The 19,184-nt window shown below is 46.5% G+C and overlaps 1 protein-coding gene across 2 annotated transcripts in view, besides 13 other annotated features; it reads left to right on the top strand.

The window, feature by feature from the left end:
- FOXN3 (forkhead box N3) overlaps nucleotides 1-19,184 on the top strand; it is a 462,989-nt gene that overhangs the window by 308,128 nt on the left and 135,677 nt on the right. The window lies entirely within an intron of this gene.
- Nucleotides 1,145-1,645: an enhancer, noted in NCBI's record as "H3K4me1 hESC enhancer chr14:89775737-89776237 (GRCh37/hg19 assembly coordinates)". NCBI's record gives its function as "activates a minimal SCP1, AML or CMV promoter by ChIP-STARR-seq in primed H9 embryonic stem cells {active_cell/tissue: H9 hESC(primed)}" and the evidence as "EXISTENCE:reporter gene assay evidence [ECO:0000049][PMID:30033119]".
- Nucleotides 1,646-2,146: an enhancer, noted in NCBI's record as "H3K4me1 hESC enhancer chr14:89775236-89775736 (GRCh37/hg19 assembly coordinates)". NCBI's record gives its function as "activates a minimal SCP1, AML or CMV promoter by ChIP-STARR-seq in primed H9 embryonic stem cells {active_cell/tissue: H9 hESC(primed)}" and the evidence as "EXISTENCE:reporter gene assay evidence [ECO:0000049][PMID:30033119]".
- Nucleotides 2,028-2,077: an enhancer, noted in NCBI's record as "active region_8855". NCBI's record gives its function as "activates an Ori minimal core promoter by ATAC-STARR-seq in GM12878 lymphoblastoid cells {active_cell/tissue: GM12878}" and the evidence as "EXISTENCE:reporter gene assay evidence [ECO:0000049][PMID:35858748]".
- Nucleotides 2,208-2,587: an enhancer, noted in NCBI's record as "active region_8854". NCBI's record gives its function as "activates an Ori minimal core promoter by ATAC-STARR-seq in GM12878 lymphoblastoid cells {active_cell/tissue: GM12878}" and the evidence as "EXISTENCE:reporter gene assay evidence [ECO:0000049][PMID:35858748]".
- Nucleotides 5,680-5,949: an enhancer, noted in NCBI's record as "active region_8853". NCBI's record gives its function as "activates an Ori minimal core promoter by ATAC-STARR-seq in GM12878 lymphoblastoid cells {active_cell/tissue: GM12878}" and the evidence as "EXISTENCE:reporter gene assay evidence [ECO:0000049][PMID:35858748]".
- Nucleotides 6,863-7,062: an enhancer, noted in NCBI's record as "active region_8852". NCBI's record gives its function as "activates an Ori minimal core promoter by ATAC-STARR-seq in GM12878 lymphoblastoid cells {active_cell/tissue: GM12878}" and the evidence as "EXISTENCE:reporter gene assay evidence [ECO:0000049][PMID:35858748]".
- Nucleotides 7,163-7,222: an enhancer, noted in NCBI's record as "active region_8851". NCBI's record gives its function as "activates an Ori minimal core promoter by ATAC-STARR-seq in GM12878 lymphoblastoid cells {active_cell/tissue: GM12878}" and the evidence as "EXISTENCE:reporter gene assay evidence [ECO:0000049][PMID:35858748]".
- Nucleotides 7,253-7,322: an enhancer, noted in NCBI's record as "active region_8850". NCBI's record gives its function as "activates an Ori minimal core promoter by ATAC-STARR-seq in GM12878 lymphoblastoid cells {active_cell/tissue: GM12878}" and the evidence as "EXISTENCE:reporter gene assay evidence [ECO:0000049][PMID:35858748]".
- Nucleotides 13,298-13,859: an enhancer, noted in NCBI's record as "H3K27ac-H3K4me1 hESC enhancer chr14:89763523-89764084 (GRCh37/hg19 assembly coordinates)". NCBI's record gives its function as "activates a minimal SCP1, AML or CMV promoter by ChIP-STARR-seq in naive H9 embryonic stem cells {active_cell/tissue: H9 hESC(naive)}" and the evidence as "EXISTENCE:reporter gene assay evidence [ECO:0000049][PMID:30033119]".
- Nucleotides 13,860-14,421: an enhancer, noted in NCBI's record as "OCT4-NANOG-H3K27ac-H3K4me1 hESC enhancer chr14:89762961-89763522 (GRCh37/hg19 assembly coordinates)". NCBI's record gives its function as "activates a minimal SCP1, AML or CMV promoter by ChIP-STARR-seq in naive H9 embryonic stem cells {active_cell/tissue: H9 hESC(naive)}" and the evidence as "EXISTENCE:reporter gene assay evidence [ECO:0000049][PMID:30033119]".
- Nucleotides 14,422-14,984: an enhancer, noted in NCBI's record as "OCT4-NANOG-H3K27ac-H3K4me1 hESC enhancer chr14:89762398-89762960 (GRCh37/hg19 assembly coordinates)". NCBI's record gives its function as "activates a minimal SCP1, AML or CMV promoter by ChIP-STARR-seq in naive H9 embryonic stem cells {active_cell/tissue: H9 hESC(naive)}" and the evidence as "EXISTENCE:reporter gene assay evidence [ECO:0000049][PMID:30033119]".
- Nucleotides 15,858-16,525: an enhancer, noted in NCBI's record as "H3K27ac-H3K4me1 hESC enhancer chr14:89760857-89761524 (GRCh37/hg19 assembly coordinates)". NCBI's record gives its function as "activates a minimal SCP1, AML or CMV promoter by ChIP-STARR-seq in primed H9 embryonic stem cells {active_cell/tissue: H9 hESC(primed)}" and the evidence as "EXISTENCE:reporter gene assay evidence [ECO:0000049][PMID:30033119]".
- Nucleotides 16,526-17,193: an enhancer, noted in NCBI's record as "NANOG-H3K27ac-H3K4me1 hESC enhancer chr14:89760189-89760856 (GRCh37/hg19 assembly coordinates)". NCBI's record gives its function as "activates a minimal SCP1, AML or CMV promoter by ChIP-STARR-seq in primed H9 embryonic stem cells {active_cell/tissue: H9 hESC(primed)}" and the evidence as "EXISTENCE:reporter gene assay evidence [ECO:0000049][PMID:30033119]".

Raw genomic sequence — 19,184 nt, 5'->3', positions numbered from 1 at the left:
GCCTCCCGGGTTCAAGTGATTCTTCTGCCTCAGCCTCCTGAGTAGCTGAGATTACAGGTGTGCTCTGCCACGCCCGGCTAATTTTGTATTTTTAGTAGAGATGGGGTTTCTCCATATTGGTCAGGCTTGTCTCAAACTCCTGACCTCAGGTGATCTGCCTGCCTCGGCCTCCCAAAGTGCTGGGATTACAGGTGTGAGCCACAGTGCCTGGCCAAAAGATATAAGGATTTTTCATGTCAACTAGATGCTAACTAAAGGGTTGCCGAGTGTAGAATGCTGATAGGCCGTCCAGCCCCAAATAAGACTAGGTAATAAGGCTCTTTTATAGTAGTTAGTGTGGTATATATGGTGCCCAAATGCTAGCAGGTACTTTTCTTAAGCAGAATCCCTGTTTCTCTTTTCATCCTTGTCTGTAATAATTCCATTTGCATGATGGACCCTTTTGTTAAAGGCAGTGGAAGAGGTAACCTTGAGCTTCGTCTCCATTTGAATTCATTATCAGTGGATTCATTAGTAGTTGTCTTTGCGACTGAGAGAAAGATGACTCAAAGTGGCTTTCGTGCCAATGAAAATCGGGCAGCTTTATCCAACTGGAAAGTCCAGGAGTAGGTCTAACTTTGGACAAAGACATGAAGCTGTGACTTCCTGGCTGCAGGTCAGCCGAGCCGCTCTCTCCATCCTTCAGAATCTCTTCTCTGTGTTGGCTTGGTTCTTAGGCACTCTGTCGCCTCGTGGAGGCAGGATGGCTGCCCGACCCCCTGTGAGTCCCTGCAGGTTCAAGTCCAGTGAAAAAAGAGAAGATCTCCTCCCACAAAATTCAGACCTGACTGCCATTGACCTAAAGCCATATCCCCCTCCCTAAGCTATTCATTGTAGCAGAGGATGGTGTACATTTTTTGACTTGTGGCTGGTATTATGCCCACTCTGCACTAGGGTGCTGGCACCCAGGGGAATTTAGAGAGCCGTTGCTGGAGGGAATGGGTGCTCGCTGGCCAGGAGCATTGGTCACTGTCCCCACCCCCGCATGGGTAGGATGGCACTTAGCGACGTTCTATTTTCACACAGAGAAGAGTTCATACTGTCAGGCTTAGATACAGACCTGTTTTTAGAGATCTGGGCTTGCCCAGTCTTGGTGACTTAAGGCAGCGGAAACTCCTCTTTCAGGTAGGTCTGTGACTGCAGACTGAGAGCCCCAGGCAGCCAACGCCATCGGTCACTCTTGGCAGAGCTTAATTGGGTTTTCATTACTAAGTGAGATTCTTTTTACTGAGTGAGGTGAGGCTCAAGCCTGCCATTTCAGCATTAAACCAGAAAATGGTTCCGTCGCACCCCTGTGGGAATCTGCTGTAGAGGCCGGGCCTTGGCTGGCTGTGGAAGGGTTAAAACGCACACCCAGAGGGCAGAGAGCAGACTCCAGAGACCCCCCTGGGCTAAAGTGCATCTCCCCCTCAGCCTCTGCCTTGGTTTTGCTGTTGCTCCAATGGTTAGTTATACCCAGTTAACGAAGTGTTCAGATTCCTTTTTCTTTGCTTAAAGCACAGACTTTTCTGTGAAATCTGCTTCCCCCATTTTCTTGTTTATAAATTTTTAATTCTAATACCAGAGGCCACCCGTGTCATGGAAACAGCGGTGACCTGGTTTCCAGGTGCCCCTCTGCGCCTGCCCAGTGAGTGACTGTGGGTGAGTCCTGGAACACACCTCCCCTAACCCCAATCTCGTGTTCCGATGGGTAAAGAGAAGTGGTGGCACGTGGCAACTCCTGGAGGCTTGGAAATGGGGTCCTAGAATATTAATCCAAAGTGGCTGCAGGGTGCGCCAAGTCCAGCCATCACACTTAACGGAGGAGAGGCCCTGGAGAGATTGAATGGCCTGTAAGCTGTGATGTTGAAGGGAGACCCTCAAACCTGGTGTATCGTAGTTTGGATTTCTGAATATAAAGAGCATTTAAACTACTACAAGGAAAAATAAAAAAACAAACAAAGAGACAGTTTTATAGTCATCAAGGAAATCCCATACACAGGCCCCAGACCACCGTGCGGCCAGGCCTCAAGGGAACTAGTGCCTGGAACAGGAGACCCCTCAGGCTGCAAGAGCTGTCCCCAGGGGCTTCAGATACCTGTTCCTCTGTCCTCCTCTGCCTGGGTTCCATTAGCCTCTGCAGGAACCAGGCTCCCCTGCTGTGCTTACCTGTCCTTCGCTGCCTCCTTCCATTTGTTCACAGTGTGTTACATCTGCTCAGGCCACAGCTGCTTTCTGGCCTCCTAGCAGCTTCTCCTTTCTCTACCTCCTCCTTAAAGAATCTACTCATTTAATTCTAGTCTTGGGGACTCTGAATGACTCAGCTTCTCTTTTTGAGCCAGGCCAACTAGGCCATAGGTTACTTGAACTCCTATGTTTTGTGTCCAGTTCTGGGGCCAGATTCTGCTTCTTCCCGTAGTATGTGGCCACGGATGTGGGTTCAGGCGTTATAAGGACAGTGTGGGCCAGGAGCTCCCAAAGACCCGCAACTTCACCAGGTATCTTCATTCACAGAATGACACCTTTCCCCAGGTACAGCCTGAAGACAGTGGGATTATTTTCAGAGTAGACTGGAGACCCATAGTGGCCACAGCAAGTGCGTGCATCTGCACAGAACGGTGCGGGACATCTCGAACAAATTCCAGAAGATTCGAGCTCATTTTAGGAGAGCTAATTCCATCCTGCAGGATTAGGGACAGAAATATACAATTTTTTCATTTGTCTTCTTTTTGTTTGTCTGTTTGTTCATTTGTTTTGAAACAGGGTCTCACTCTGGCACCCAGGGTGGAGTGCAGTGGTACAGTCTCTGCTCACTGAAGCCTCACCTCCCAGGTTCAAATGATTCTCGTGCCTCAGCCTCCCGAGTAGCTGGGATTATAGGCGGGTGCCACCACGCCTGGCTAAACTGTGTATTTTTGGTAGAGACAGGGTTTCACCATGTTGCCCAGGCTGGTCTTGAACTCCTGACCTCAGATGATCCGCCCACCTCGGCCTCCCAAAGTGCTGGGATTACAGGTGTGAGCCACTGCTCCCGGCCTAATTTTTCATTTTGATGTTATTTTCATGCTCTTCTTCCAAAAATGCAAATACTGACAAAACTTGAAGATCTTTGTTCTTTTCTTTATGTCGGTGCAGAGTGTACAAAAGTTACCTATATCGGGCACACATTGAAATTTGCATTAGCAGAGACTGCTATAGGATTTACTTATGAGTGATTCTGAAAGGTTAAGAATGGCACTTTTTCTAAGCTTTGGTTGAGGTTGGGATTGGGAAGGATGGTTCCTCTCACCATGGTTATGCAAAAACTATGGGTTGTAATAGGATGCAAACACGTGTCTCCCAAGAATAAGCAGAGGTGCAGGCTGCCAACGAGCTTTAAGAAATACTGTGGCTCGGTAAATGGAGAACCGAAGGGAGAGAGGGTAGCAAAAGCAAAGAGACCTTTGGTGTTTCCGACTTTCACGAGAGCCTGTCCAAATTTTCATCTGCATCAGCACTTTTCTAGCAAAGTTCACCGGCCATCCAGCATTATCTGGTGGGCGGCCTTATTTACACACATATATATAATTGATTCCATATTCCTCTCAGACCTACAAACAGTACCCATGTTTGTTTTTAATAACCAGAATTATTTCAGCTTAAAAAAAGGTGTAGATTTACATAGACAGTCTGATGAGTGCCTCAGATTGTTCCATTAGTAACACAGAGGAGAAACAATCTTAAGAAAAACATTTTGAATTTGTGTGTGGAGGTGGAGAGAGGATTGGGTTAGTGAAATCAGAAAGCTTCCAAGTAATGATTATTACATTTAATAATAATTAGATTAGCGTTCCACAGGGACTGTTTTCTGGAAATTTTGGTAGGACAGTCACTGAGTAACACACACACTCAGAGCAACCTAGGTTTCAGGCCATTGGGTGGGACATGGCCTATTTGCTTTGTTTTGGTCGCGTTTAAAGTTAATCCAAAATCAATTTCTTTTTCAAGATTAAAATGTCACTACTCTGTCTTCCACTTCAGGCTTCTGCAAACTTTTTCTATGAAGGGTCATGTAGTAACTGTTTAGCACAAAATAGACGTACACATAAACAAGTGAGTGTGTTGTGTCCCAATAAAATGTTATTTATGGCATTGAAGTTTGAATTTCATATAATTTTCACTTGTCAAGAAATAATATTCTTCTTTTGATTCTTTTTTCCCTGACCATTACCAAATGTCAAAGCCATACTTAGCTTCCAGCTAGTACAGTTTGGTTCATAATTTGCCAACCCCCGTCCTAGTTCTGACTTTGTAGTCAGAATTTTGTCTTTTGGGGAGAAAACTCCACTTTGCATATGAAGGAGAACCAAAATGGGCCGGGCGCGGTGGCTCACGCCTGTAATCCCAGCACTTTGGAAGGCTGAGGCGGGCGGATCACGAGTTCAGGAGATTGAGACCATGCTGGCTAACACAGTGAAACCCCGTCTCTACTAAAAATACAAAAAAATTAGCCGGGCGTGGTGGTGGGCGCCTGTAGTCCCAGCTACTCAGAGGCTGAGGCAGGAGAATAGCGTGAACCCAGGAGGCGGAGCTTGCAGTGAACCGAGATGGTGCCACTGTACTCCAGCCTGGGCAACAGAGCAAGACTCCGTCTCTCCGTCTCAAAAAAAAAAAAGAGAACCAAAGTGTGTGTGTGTGTGTGTGTGCATGCGTCTGTGTGTCTGTGAGTGTGTGTGTGTGTGTTGAGCTTTTCTGTTTCTTCAGCTCCCCTCTTGGGGATGAAGCAGGGTCTCTAGACATTAGAACTCCGGTTGTTGGAGCCTGCCACCAGCAGTTTAGTGCTGATGGCAAGGAGGCTCGCCTCAGGGACTGAAAAACTCTTCTCCACACAGAGAATTCTAAATGACTCTTGAAATAGAGGGAATTGAGAATGCAGACAAAGGCAGAAACTTGAGAGGAAAGCTGCTGAGCATTATATGCACATAGCTCTGTAAGGGTTGTGAAAATGGTGGTGGTGTTCTCATAATTTCTTTGCAAATATATATGTATTTTAAAAGGCTTAGGTCTCTCAGCTGCTTCTTTTCATCCTTATTCTTAGAGAAGTAGGCAAAAGACATGCTTCCACAAATTATAAACACCTGGTTTTGTTTAGTATCCTATTGAGGGAAATTAGGAAAGTTGCAGAAACATTCAGTTTTCCTAAATTGTTTTACAAAACCTGTGACAATGCACTGCAGACATATGCATTGTATTTAGTTAGATCCGTTTAATAAGAATCATTCTTATCAGGGCACCTCCCAAATCCTTCATAAATATAAGGCTTTTAAATATTTGTCTCCTTTTATAATTAGTCTAGATTTAGCAGTGGGTCTTCCTGATTTGGGAGGAAGCATGCTTCATGGTTGCCTGGCAACAGCTAATCGTGGTATTAGGGGCCAACAAAACAGTTGGCAGAAACTGTAAATTCTTTTGTCTTGTTAACAAAAAATGATAGTTAAAGATACAGCAGTATGTTAAGTCTGTTCTGTTGTTCAAACATATAACTTACGTGATAAATTCCTATGCTAATATAACCTCAGTGTGCTGCTCAAATTTATAGCTTGTTTAGAGAACCTGCTCACTTCGTACTTGGGTCACATGTCATCTGCTCATGGTACTGAAACTCATCGGGTAGGACAGTGATGTCATAGAGGCGTCCTTTTCTCAAGGGCTCTTAAGATGAATCTGAGGTTTTTGTTGAACGATGGGTTCTGAAACATATGTGAAGCTCCAGCATAAACGTCTGAAGTCAGGATTCTGGTTCTTAAGCAGGAGCCGCGAGTTCACCATCGATGACCTCAGTTCCCATCTCCTAGTGGCCCTCAGTGGGTACAGACACCAGCACCCGGCCTGTGTGATCCGTCCTGGTGCTGGCCAGGCCTTCCTCTCGTCCCCTCCAGATCAGCCGGGCTCAGCGTAAGTTTTCTAGGACAACTTCGTAAAATGAATTCTCATTTCATAAGCAAATATAGTGTGAGTCATGCTTTGGCCACATAGAATTAAGAAGGAAGAAAAAACACTATTTATTTGGTTGGTACTTTTTTTTTTTTTTTTTTTAAGAAACTACACTGTATTCCAGATTTGTCCGCAGATCACTGTCAGCTTCCTCTCCTCTGGGTATATGTTTTTAAAGGACGTTGTCTATTATGGGTCAGGGTCCCCCGCTCCACCAGGCACTTCGGTGTGTATTTTCTCACTTAACTCCCAGCTCTGTGCAGAAGGTCTGGGAGACACCAGTGCTTAAGCCAAGTTTTATGGGGGCCAGACGAGGAGCAGCCGGGTTGAATGCCCAGGTTTTCTCTGGTTTCCAAGCCCATACTCTGCTTTATCCTTAGTTTTGGGCCCAGTTTTCAGAACACATCCAGAATCATCCATTTGCCCAGCAAACCAACATAAGGTATCAAATGAATGGCCAAGATGTTGAATGTATTTCATCCTTTGTTTCCTTGATTTCTAAAAAAACAGCCCTTAGATATTTTTAACAGAATTTTTAAAAAGCACCCCCTGTTGTCTAAGTTCTCTTTTCTATATGATCTTTGCCGCCTCTCCTGCCCCCACCTCCACCATAGTCAGAAATCTCACATCTCAACAAACATCTCTCTCCTGTCTTCACCGCGGTTCTGCTCACAGCCACTTTCCCCTTCAAACTGGACATTTTGGATTTTCCCTGCTAACCTTACCGCCCCTTCCCGCCCCTTCCCGGGCTCCAGCTCAGCAGGAAGAAATGTCGTCAGCAGAGGCTGCAAACCCAAGCCTGTCCCTTTTCAGTGGTATTTTTACTACGAGCTGAACTACTTCAGCATCATGTAAACACGCTGGAGTGTGTTCACAGCTGCCTCTCTTTTAAAGTTGAACCAGCTCAGAACTAAAAGGGGAACTGCTTTCAGGTTCTGTTCAAGTTTGCATGTGACAGCATCAAAGCTATTTTTAGCAGAGTGATCACCGGCAAGAAGCTGGAAACGGCTGCCTTCAACTATCAACAGTGGAAAGAAAGGATCATTTATGGACTGCTGCAGCTCTTGAGTCCATTTATATGGGAGACACAGGGGTGTGTAAATCTCTTCTTCAAAGTTACAAGGCGTCTTGTCCCCCATCACCTTTGCAGAGACAGGGCAGTGTTAATTTAGTGCTTGGTTGCCTGGGCTCCAAGTTAAAGTAGATACACTGATAATAGTGAATTATAGGACTGTCCTCAATGTCTGTTCTGAGAAGAAGGCGATGTATAGATGCTCAGAAACATCCATTAAACTTTTGAAGTGTTTGTATTGTTTCTTCAGTTTTCCTTTTCTTTTCTGTAGATCACCAAACTCAAGAGACAGCAGGAAACGGGAGGTAGTTATGTAAGCATCATGGCAATGAAGAGAGCATGAGTCACTTACTAGCCATGCGACCCTCATTAAGTGACTTTTCCTTTCTGAATTAAGTGTTCTTAGCTGCAAAATGAGGATCATAATACCAGCCCTATATACTTTATAGGGCTAGTTTTTTTTTTGTTTTTTTTTTTTAGCAGATGTTTATTGAACACCTACTCCATGCCAGCTCCTGGGGACATGAGCTGAATCAGATCGTCAGTGTCTTCAGAGAGCTCACAGTCTAGCTCCATAAATAACTAACTTATAATACCCTGTGTTTCATGGAAAGGAGACAGCATAAGACAGATAGGATCTGCTCTCAGCATGGAGGGAGGCAGGAAGAAGACAGGAGGAGCAGTATTTTCAAGACAGCATAAAAGTTTGCAAAGAAAACAAGGGAGTGAGGGACATTCCAAGCAGGGGCAACTGAGTAGCAATGACAGAGGTCAAAGGCGCTCTGGTGTCTCCAAGGGACCATGAGCAACTTGGTATTGTCAGAGCGAAAAAAACTAAAAGACAAGGGGTGGCAGGAGAAGCTGGAGCAAGTGGAGCCAATTGTTTAGTGCTAAAGAACCTGGAAGTGGCACAGGTCACAGGGAGCCAGGAGTCATTTTGAGCACACGATTGACTGGATTATACACAAATTAAAGTGGAGTCATTGCTAGCAAAAGTCCCTGAATCTGTGTATATGAAGTGGTAGCAGTTTAGTGCAGGCAAAGAATGCCCTACACATAAAGTGTCCTCCCTGGAAAGGCTAAGCTGTAGCACAGTACTAAAACTTGGTGGCCTGTGACTCCTTTGAACAATGCCTTTGAAGAGGGCGGAGGTGGGCAGCCTTTGAAGAGGGTGGAGGTGGACAGAGAAGGGCAGATGAAAGGGAGAGAAGTAGCATACCTTCTCAGACCCGATTGGTACTGGGCTCTGCAAGTGGCTTTGGAGGATAAGTCACATCCTTCAGGAGCTTTCAGGCCAGGTAGCATTGAAGAGGAAGGCACGAGCCTTGGCAGCGGTGTGTGGCCTGTGTGTGCTCAGGGGACTTGCAAAGGTGAGCCCAATGACCCAGCACCAAGAAGCACAGCCCATGTGTGTGAGTCAGTTTCCTCCAAAGGTTTCAGGAGGCTAAGGTTTTTCGGGTTATGTTTAAAGCTTCAATTGTGTGGTCCTCTTTATTCGCCATAGGAATTCAAAGAAGAGGGAAGCACAGAACAAAACAAAGTAAAACAAAGCAAAACCCTCACAATCATACGTAACTGTTTACACCCAGAAAGAAAGGTGCTGAGAAGGCATGGTGTGCTACCACATTTTGTAAAGCTTGATGGACACACCCTCATAGTTACATAACTATGGCCAAGAAGTGACATTACTCTTTTGAAACTATGTTCTCTTCGAATTTAATGCTATCATGGAAGTTCAGCAACATTATTTGCCTCAGTTCACTTCCAGGAGAGGAATAGATGTTTCTATAGTTTTTCTCGAAGCATCGAATGGGTATTAGGTACTAGGTGTGTAAGAATCAGTTTCTTCGGCTCCAGCCCATGTGATGGTGGAAGAAAACCAACGCACTTGGCCTTCCCAACCATTTCGTTTTGGGTTTTCCTGAGCTACACTATGTGGGGAGGGACTGAGAGAGGGACACGTGGGACAGTTTGCGAACAGCAGAGAGTCACAAGCAAGGAAAAGGTTGGTACAGGTGGTGAGGGAGGTGGCCAGAGGTCACCGGGAAAGGAGTGAGTAGACAGGGTACCTTTGAGGTCGGGCCGGGCCTTTCTGCTCAGTTGGAAGTATCAGGACAAAGACATGGTTAAGGCGCTGATGCCCATCACAGTACTTTGTTGCCTTGGGAGACAGAAGAGATTACTTTTTGGAATTTTTTTTTTATTTTGAGACAGAGTCTCACTCTGTAGCCCAGGCTGGAGTGCAGTGGCATGATCTCGGCCCACTGCAACCTCTGCCTCCCGGGTTCAAGCAGTTCTCCTACCTCAGCCTCCCAAGCAGCTGGGATTACAGGAGCCTGCCACTGCACCCAGGTAATTTTTGTATATTTAGTAGAGACGGGCTTTCACCATGATGGCCAGTCTGGTCTTGAACTCCTGACCTCGTGATCCATCTGCCTCGGCCTCCCAAAGTGCTGGGATTACAGGCGTGAGCCACCGAGCCCCACCACATTTTTTTTTAAGATGGGGTATCACTCTGTCACGCAGTCTGGAGCGCAGTGGCATGATCATGGCTCATGGCAGCCACAAGTTCCTGGGTTCAAGTGATCCTCCCATTTCAGCCTCCTGAGTAGCTGGGACTGCAGGTGCGTGCCACCACACCTGGCTAATTTTTTTTTTTTTTCTTTTGTAGAGATGGGATCTCCCTATGTTACCCAAGCTGGTCTCAAACTCCTGGGCTCAAGCAGTCTTCCTGCCTCAGTCTCCCAAAATGGTAGGATTATAGGCATGTCTTACATTTTGGAAATTTAAAATCACTTTGTCACTTTGAAGCCAACCATAAATAGATGTAATAAACCATAGGAAAAATGTTTTATAAAAAATAAACATCTGAGGCTGGGTGCAGTGGCTCATGCCTGTAATCCTAGCACTTTGTGAGGCCAAGCCAGGCAGATCACTTGAGGTCAAGAGTTTGAAACCAGCCTGGCCAACATGGTGAAACCCCGTCTCTACTAAAAAAAAAAGCAAAAAAATTAGCCGGGCATGGGGACAGGCACCTATAATCCCAGCTACGTGGAAGGCTGAGGCAAGAGAATCGCTTGAACCTTGGAGGCGGAGGTTGCAGTGAGCCGAGATTGTGCCACTGCACTCCAGCCTGAGCAACAGAGCGAGACTCCATCTCAAATAAATAAATAAACAAATGAACAAACAAACATCTGCACTATTACATACAACTGTAGCAATTGAGTGCCCAGATTAGGTCTTCCTGATACAGCATTTAGATCGAGGTGTCCCTTCTATGTCATCAGCTTTCCAAAATCAGTGTTTATGTCTCTCATCTTCGTGGTGGACTATGGGATGGGACTAGCTGTCAAAGGGAGGAAATGAATAATCAAGGGAAATCACAATTTCTCCACAAATAGGTTATTTTCTTGTCTGTGACTGGTTTTCAGCATCATAGGAAGTACCGGGAGCCAGACTGTCAAAAACTTGGATTAAAACATATACATTTCTTGGCTGGGCACAGTGGCTCACGCCTGTAAACCCATCACTCTGGGAGGCCGAGGCAGGTGGATCACCTGAGGTCAGGAGTTCGAGACCAACCTGGCCAACATAGTGAAACCCTGTCTCTATACAAATAGAAAAATTATCTGGGCATGATGGCGGGTGCCTGTAATCCCAACTACTTGGGAGGCTGAGGCAGGAGAATCACTTGAACCTGGGAGGTAGAGGTTGCAATGAGCCAAGATCATGCCATTGCACTCCAGCCTGGATGACAGAGCGAGGCTCCATCTCAAAAAAAAAAAAAAAAAAAAGTACATTTCTTGATCTCGCTTGAAATCCTGAAAGATAAATAGGTCATAGTGACTTTTGCCTTTATTATTGAGGTACTTCTGCTGAATGTTGTATCAGTTCATGGAGTAATGAGGGAATTGTGTTACTCACATTATATAATGGGCAGTGTGTAGTTGTTGGTCACCACCTCAAAATGATGCTGCTGTGCTGGGACAGAAGATGCAAGTGTGGCCAGCCTTCTTGCTTCCTTGCGATTCAGTTCAAGTTGAAATGATATTTTTACTCACCATGTGTTTGCTCTTGATGGAGGGGATTTTAGATAAGCTTTTGCCACTGTCTTTGGATCAAGCACCCTGGCCATACTAACATTGTCTAGTCCTCAGCTGGTTCCACCTGTTGCACTGGTGCCATTTGTACCATTGTCAAGACCTCCGTGAAACTGTTGCCAAAGGAAGGAGGGAGTGGCTGGGCTTCCTCAGTCTCAGAGTCCCTCCAGTCCAGACTTGGCCACCTGGTCCCTCTCTGGGGTCAGCACGGCCAAAGTGGGAGGTGTAGAAGGTATCCCCGGGCCACCTTCTATCATCTCCATCTCTGAGGCAAGCTGCTCCTTGAGGGACTTGGCTTCCGTATTTGGGGATCAGTGAGGCTGAGATGGAGAGATTCCATGGGATAGAGCAAAGCCTCCAGGTTTCAGCTCCTCAGGAGTGCACCAAAGAGAAGATATTGAAGGGCTGCTGAATTAGTCTGTTCTCATGCTGCTGATAAAGACATCCAAGACTGGATAATTTGTAAAGGAAAGAGGTTTAATGGACTCACAGTTCTACATGGCTGGTGAGGCCTCACAATCACGTCTTACATGGTGGCAGGCAAGACAGCTTGAGCAGGGGAACTCCCATTTATAAAACCATTGGATTTTGTGAGACTTATTCACTACCTTGAGAATAGTATGGGGGAAACCGCCCCCATGATTCAAATCTCTCCACCTGGCCCCACCCTTGACACTTGGGGATTATTACAGTTCAAGGTGAGATTTGGGTAGGGACACAGCCAAACCATATCAGCTACTTTCTAGGCTGTGATAATAGCAGCACTTATTGAGCACATACTGGGTGTGAGCACCCAGAAGGTGGATGTCACCTTTGGAGGATCTATAGTTTTTCCAGGGAAGCAGCTGGAGAACTGGCAGGACAGTTGGCATTGAAGTCCCACAGCAGCACTTTTAGGGCTCAGAGAAGATTCAGATGAGGGTCAAGGAATGGGCATGGGCCTCATAGAAGAGACTGTCAGTGTATTCTACCCAACAAGAGGAACATTGTCCAGAAGATTCTAGTGTCTGGTTTTATTCTTGGTGTAGTAACCAAGACATCCAAAGGCAGCTGCAGGGGTTCCTCTGTACATCTCAGAATCCTTGAGCTAATTTGCCATCCATGTCCCTGCCTCTTGGAGGACAGGATGGTTATTTTGTCACAGCGTCCTCATAGCAATGTAAAAACATGTTTATTCAGTGAATGGATGAGTGAGAGAAAAGAGAGTGAGGAAACCAGCCCTTATTTCTAGATCCTGGCAGTGGAGCAGCAGAGGTGTCACCTGCCTTATGTACTGTCTGGCCAGCCATTAGGAAATGTCTGTTTGTCTGTCTGTCGTCTATCTGTTATTTATTTATTAAATTGTGGTAAAAGACACATGAAATAAAATGTACTATCCAGCCTTTTTTTTTTTTTTTTTTTTAAATAGACGGAGTCTCCCTCTATCACCCAGGCTGGAGTGCAGTGGCGCCATCCAGGCATTTTTAAAGTTTACAGTTCAGTGGCATTAAAGATGCTCAGCTGTTGTACAGCCAGCACTGCCATCATCATTTTTTTCATCTTCCAAGACTGAAACCCTGTACTCATTAAACAACCACTCCCCCCGTTCCCCTCCACCTAGTTCCTGGCAACCACCATTCTTTTTCTATCTATGAGTTTAATGACTCTAGATACCTTATAAAAGTGGAGTCATACAGTGTTTGTCTTTTTTGTGACTGGCTTATTGCATTTACCATAATGCCCTCAAGGTTCATGTTATAACGTATGTGAGGGTTTCCTTCCTTTTAAAGGCTGAATATTATTCTCTTGTTTTGTCTATCCATGCATCCATCGAGGGACAGTTAGGTTGCTTCTACCTCTTGGCTATTGTGAATAATGTTTCTCTTTTCTTCTTGTTGTTTTGTTTTTTTAGAGACATGTTCTCTGTCTGTCACCCAGGCCAGAGTGCAGTAGCATGATTATAGCTCACTGTAACTTTGAACTCCTGGGCTCAAGCCGTCCTCCTGCCTCAGGTTCCCAAGTAGCTGGGACTACAGGTGTGTGCCACCACACCCGGTGACTTAAAAAAAAATTTTTTTTTTGTAGAATCAGGGTCTTGCTATGTAGCCCTGGCTGGTCTCGAACTCCTAGCCTCAAGCAATTCTCCTGCCTTGGCCTCCCAAAATGCTGGGATTATAGGCGTGAGCCATCGCACCCAGATGTGAATAATGTTTCTATGAGCATGGGTGTACGAGTATCTCTTCAAATCCCTGCTTTCAGTTGTTTTGGGTATATATCCAGAATCGGAACTGTTAGATTTGATGGCATTCCTATGTTTAATTTTTTTTTTTTTTTTTGAAAGGGAGTCTTGCTCTGTTGCCCAGGCTGGAGTGCAGTGGCGCAATCTCGGCTCACTGCAAGCTCCGCCTCCCAGTTTCACGCCATTCTCTCGCCTCAGCCTCCTGAGTAGCTGGGACTACAGGCGCCCGCCACCACGCCCGGCTAATTTTTTTTGTATTTTTAGTAGAGGGTTTCACCGTGTTAGCCAGGATGGTCTCGATCTCCTGACCTTGTGATCCGCCCGCCTCGGCTTCCCAAAGTGTTGGGATTACAGGCCTGAGCCACCGCGCCCGGCCCCTATGTTTAATTTTTTTAGGAACCGCCATACTGTTTTTTCAGAGTGCCTGCACCATTTTAAGGGGATGTCTTTTGCGCCGCCTCCGTGGCATTAGTTTGGGTAATGTCTTATATAGTTACTTAGCTTTTCCCTTTACTTGCCTTTCCTCTTGTTAGTTTTACAAATGCTATTCTCCTTCCGTATGATTCCACTTATGTTTGAAAAGTATTGCTTAATATCTGGCACTTTGGACAGGTTTGGGATAACAAAGGCCATGGATAGATTGATCCACACTAGCACAGCAGGCCCAAATTCTGAAGCTGTTTCTCCTCTCCTCCAGCCCCTTCAGAAATGTTGAGTTTCGGCTGGATGCGGTGGCTCACATCTGTAATCCCAGCACTTTGGGAGGCCGAGGCGGGTGGATGACCTGAGGTCAGGAGTTCGAGACCAGTCTGACCAATATGGCAAAACCCCGCCTCTACTAAAGAATACAAAAATTAGCCAGGCATGGTGGCAGGCACCTGTAATCCCAGCTACTCAGGAGGCTGAGGCAGGAGAATCGCTTGAGCCCAGGAGGTGGAGGTTGCAGGGAGCTGAAATCGTGCCATTGCGCTCCAGCCTAGACGACAGAGCGAGACTCGGTTGAGAAATGTTGAGTTTATCCCTGGGGCCCCTGGGCAGATGTCCTCTGGGGAAGTCCCAAGTTGCTGCTTCAGAGATGAAGCTAGAACCAAACTGGCCCTACTAGACTGGGAGCTCTTGGCCCAGCTGCTCTGCCTCCCTTAACTCCACCATTCTAATTGTGATTAGTAGGCTCATTTGCATCTAAAAGGAGTAGTTTTCTTATCAACACCATTGAGTGGAGAACCAGTGTGCTCCATTTATATAGAGTGGCCCATTTAAATCAGGGCCCATTAAGCAGTAAAAGTAAATGTGGGTGTTTTACAAATGCAAATATATCATGCAAATAATGTACTTTATACTGAATGATGCCTTGGTTTTCATATGTAAAATTAGAAACTGTGTAGCACAAAGATAATGATAAACACCTTTGCATCTGTTCATGAGATGTATCATAAGCTGTATGCATGTAAAATCGTAGCCGTGGTTTTAAGCAGAGTTTTTTCAGTATATACTCAAAACATGCATCCCATATTATAAAAAATATGCATGTATTTATCTAGTTATTTATCTGTTCCTAAGGAATCAAGAAATCACAGAAAAGAGGAATCCAAATTACCTAATCTATTACTTACTATGAATGAGATTTATAATTTTCTTTCAATTTTTAAATATTTTTGAGTTTTTATTTGAGATGATGATAGTGAAGAAGATGTGTTACTATAGGCTAGTTTCTTTGTGAGAGATTTAATTATGTTTATAAGAGATGTTTTAAAAATCCTGGCCGGGCATGGTGGCTCACTCCTGTAATCCCAGTATTTTGGGAGGCTGAGGCAGGAGCTCTTGAGCCTAGGAGTTCAAGAGCAGCCTGGGAAACATAGCAAGACCCAGTCTCTACAAAAAAAAAAAAAAAAAATGCAAAAATTAGCCAGGCATGGTGGCATGTACCTGTAGTCCCAGCTACTCAGGAGGCTGAGGTGGGAGTATTGCTTGAGCCTGCAAGTTTGAGGCTGCAGTGAGCTGCGATTGTGCCACTGCACTCCAGCCTGGGTGACAGAGTGACAGAGTGAGACCCTGCCTCAAAAAAAAGGAAAAAAAAAATCCTTAGTGTTTGAGATAATTCTGTGTAGGAGGTGCAGGTAGCATTCCCGCTGTTTTTCAGAATCACTTAGAATAATGACAACCATCTTCCGTGTGCTGTGAACCTGGCCAGGTTCTAAGAGAGGAGTCACTGTTAGCCTCTGCTCACGTGACGTCTGCCAAGGTAAGGTGAGACACACATACCTGTGGGTTAAAGGTATAAGGCGTTAGAATGGGAAGACACTGCAGAGTGCAATTAATTCCCAGATGAGCTGCACAGAAGGTATTTGCCAGAAGGATTCAGAGGAGGGAGAGGTTGTAGGGTGAGAGTGACCAGATAAGGTGTCCTGGGTACCTGGGATTCGAGTTGAACATTAAAGGATGAATAGGCTGTAACAGGTGAAGAGAACATGGGTCTAGGGCATTTCATGCAGCGGAGGGAGAGATTGGGCTGGGATGGGCCCAAAAAGCCTCCTGGGTGCAGGTGTTCTGGAGACCTGTGCCAGGCGGCATATTGAAAGCAGGAAGGACATGCTGGGAAGGAACAGGAGGGCTTCTGAGGGGTACCAGCACCGATTGGCTCTCACCCTGCCCTGTAAGCATTTGTTACAGGAAAGGGGTCCCGATCCTGACTCCAAGAGGAGGCTCTTGGATCTCAAACAAGAAAGAATTCAGGGCGATTCCATAGAGTAAAGTGAAAGCAACTTGATTAATAAAGTAAAGGAACAAAATGATGGCTACTTCATATATAGAGCAGTCCGGAGGGCTGCTGGCTGCCCATTTTTATGGTTATTTCTTGATGATATGCTAAACAAGGGGTGGATTATTCATGCCTCCCCTTTTTAGACCATATAGGGTAACTTCCTGATGTTGGCATGGCATTTGTAAACTGTCATGGTGCTGTGGGAGTGTAGCAGTGAGGACCACCAGAGGTCACTCTCATTGCCATCTTGGTTCGGTGGGTTTCAGCTGGCTTTAATGCAATCTGTTTTATCCGCAAGGTCTTTGTGACCTGCATCTTGTGCCGACCTCCTGTCTCATCCTGTGACTTAGAATGCCTTCACCATCTGGGTAGGCAGCCCAGTAGGTCTCAGCCTCATTTTACCCAGCCCCTATTCATGATGGAGTTGCTGTGGTTCAGACGCCTCTGGCACATTCACACTTCTGTAGCCACCAAACTCTTCGAATGAAGACGCACATGGAGAGTCGGTGTATGAGACACATGAAAAATGAGAGGCTTTGTTGACATTGGGCAGCTCTGGTGATACCATTCCCCCACCCCTGATAGCACTCTGGGCACCTCTCCACGTTGGCAAGCCCTGGGGACTGTGCCTGAAGATATTGTGCTTTGAGAATGCTGCTGAGGTGTCAGGCAGGGCGGCCTGCTGTGGGGAGAGAGGCTGGAGACAGGGAGGCCTATTAGGATTCAGGAGAGGACATCTTAACTTGAGCTGACCCCAGGCCTGGGAGTAGAAACAGAAAGGAAAGGAAAGTGCAGGAGCCCTTGGGAAGAACGGGTGGGCCCCAATGGGGACTGGAGGCAGGGACGTAGCTGAGGAAGGTGTCAGAGCCTCCAGAATTTTGAACTAGAGCATTTGCCAGGTGATTACCAAAGGCTGGGTCCGTTGTTTTCTTCTGTTTTGTTCTTTGCGGAATGCTGAATTAAAGGATAAACTTTACTTCCCTCAACAGACATTTGTGGCAGCCAGGTTCCAAGCACAGCAGTAGGTATTAGGGATTCAGGAAAAGACAGCCACAGGTGTCTTGGTATAGCCTGGAGAGACTGCATGTGGAAGGGAAATAGCCACTGTCTGGGGTGAATTGTGCTTCTCTCCCCCTACCCCCAACCGCCGCTCCATTCATATGTTGATGTCCTAACTCCCAGTTCCTCAGAATGTGCCCTTACTTCCAATGTGCCCATATTTCCAATAAGGTCCTTGCAGGATGTCATTAGTTAAGATGAGGTCACACTGGAGTGGGGTGCACCCTCGACTCAACATGACGTTGTCCTTAGAAAAGGTGGGAATTTGAAGCCAGCTGTACACATGGGGGAATGCTGTGTAAAGATGAAGGCAGGGCAATGCTCTTGCAAGCCAGAGAACACCAGCAAACACCAGCAGCTGCGAGGGAGGCCAGGAACAGATTCTCCCCCACAGCCTGCTGAAGGAACCAGCCCTGTGACCCCTTGATCTTGGACTTCTGCCCTCCAGGACTGTGAGAGGAGGAATTTCTGTTGCTTAAACCCCCCAGTCTGTGGCACTTGGTTATGGCAGCCCCAGCAAACGAATAGACACTGATAAACCCTGGGCAGCATGGAGAGCGTGCCCTGGGAACTGGCAAGCAAGGCAGAGGGGGGAAGCTGCCTTCTGGTTTGAGCGGATGTGGGAGCTAGGGGCAGCTGAAAGCTGCTCTGTGCAGAGCCCGCTGGAGATACCCTCCAGCATCTGGAAACAGAATCAGCTGGCAGTGGGGAAGTGGCAAACCCAACCTTTCCACAAACTCTCCTAGGAAAAGAGCATGAGAAGAAAAGAGGAGAGGGCTAGAACTCTAGGAATGCTCTGATGGTGGGGCCGAGCATGGACAGAGAGCTAGCCGACTGTCCGGCAAGAAGAGTGGGAGGAGCCGAACCCAGGCCAGGAGGGTGTTTTGTAGCTAAAGGTGGAAAGGATTTTTAAGAGTATTGTCAAAAGTAACAGGAAGTTTGTGTAACCCAGAAAGAGGCTTCTCATGTGAGTGCATGTGGGAGGTCGTGCGGTGGAGAGGGGAGAGAGGCTGGAGTGACATCAAGGGCAGTGACCGCTCGTCTTAGTCTGTTTGTGCTGCTGTCACAAACTGGGTAATTTACAAACAATAGATCTCTCGCTATGCTGGAGGCTGGGAAGTCCAAGATCAAGGCTGTGGTAGGTTCATTGTCTGGTGAGGGCTGCTTGCAAAATGGGGCCTTGAACGCTGTACCCTCCAGAGGAGAGGAGCACTGTGTCTTCACATGGCAGAAGGCAGAAAAGGGGGGTGGCTCCCTCCTTTAAGCCCCTTTATATGGTCATCTAATCCCGTTCATGAGGAAGGAGCCCTCCTGGCCTAATCACCTTTTAAAGGCCCTACCTCTTAACACTATCACCTTGGCAACACCTGAATTTTGGAGGGACACATGCAAACCATAGCACCTGGGGAACTGGGGGACCCAGGTGACCCCTGGCAGGAAGAGGTTGTGGTGGTGACATGGGGGAGTGGAAGCTGCGCTGTCGGTGCCAGCTCTTGGGATTTGTGAGTGCAGGAAAGAATAATGGGAGCCAAAAGGAGGACTTGGACACCAGTTTATGTGTGGCGATGGCTAAGATAAGAAATCATCAGTCCTGGGAAGGGGGAGGTAAGTGGAGACAAGGGGTAGTGGAGGGAGGAAAGATTCCAGAGGAAAAGAAGGGTAATAGAGATGTTACTTTGGCAAGTAAGAAGATGCACGCGCAGGCAGAAATAATGGAGCCAGCGAACGGAGGTGGAAGGAAGGGCATGTCCTTCGTTTAGAAAAGAGGAGGTGACGGTGCCTGCCGAAAGATGGAGCGGGAGGTTTGGGACTTGATGAGTGGAGAGATTGGGGCCAGTGTTCCTGGGTTCTCATTTGGGAGCAGTTTTATTCCCCAGTGGACACACAGCAATAACTGGAAACATTTTTGGTTGTCACAGCTGATGAGGTGGGTGTCACTGGTGTCTAGTGGGAGGCCAGGAAGACTGCTGAGCATCTTACCAT

Source organism: Homo sapiens, chromosome 14 (genome assembly GCF_000001405.40).
Source record: "Homo sapiens chromosome 14, GRCh38.p14 Primary Assembly".
Lineage (NCBI taxonomy): Eukaryota > Metazoa > Chordata > Mammalia > Primates > Hominidae > Homo > Homo sapiens.
This window is presented reverse-complemented; position numbering and strand designations above follow the sequence as displayed.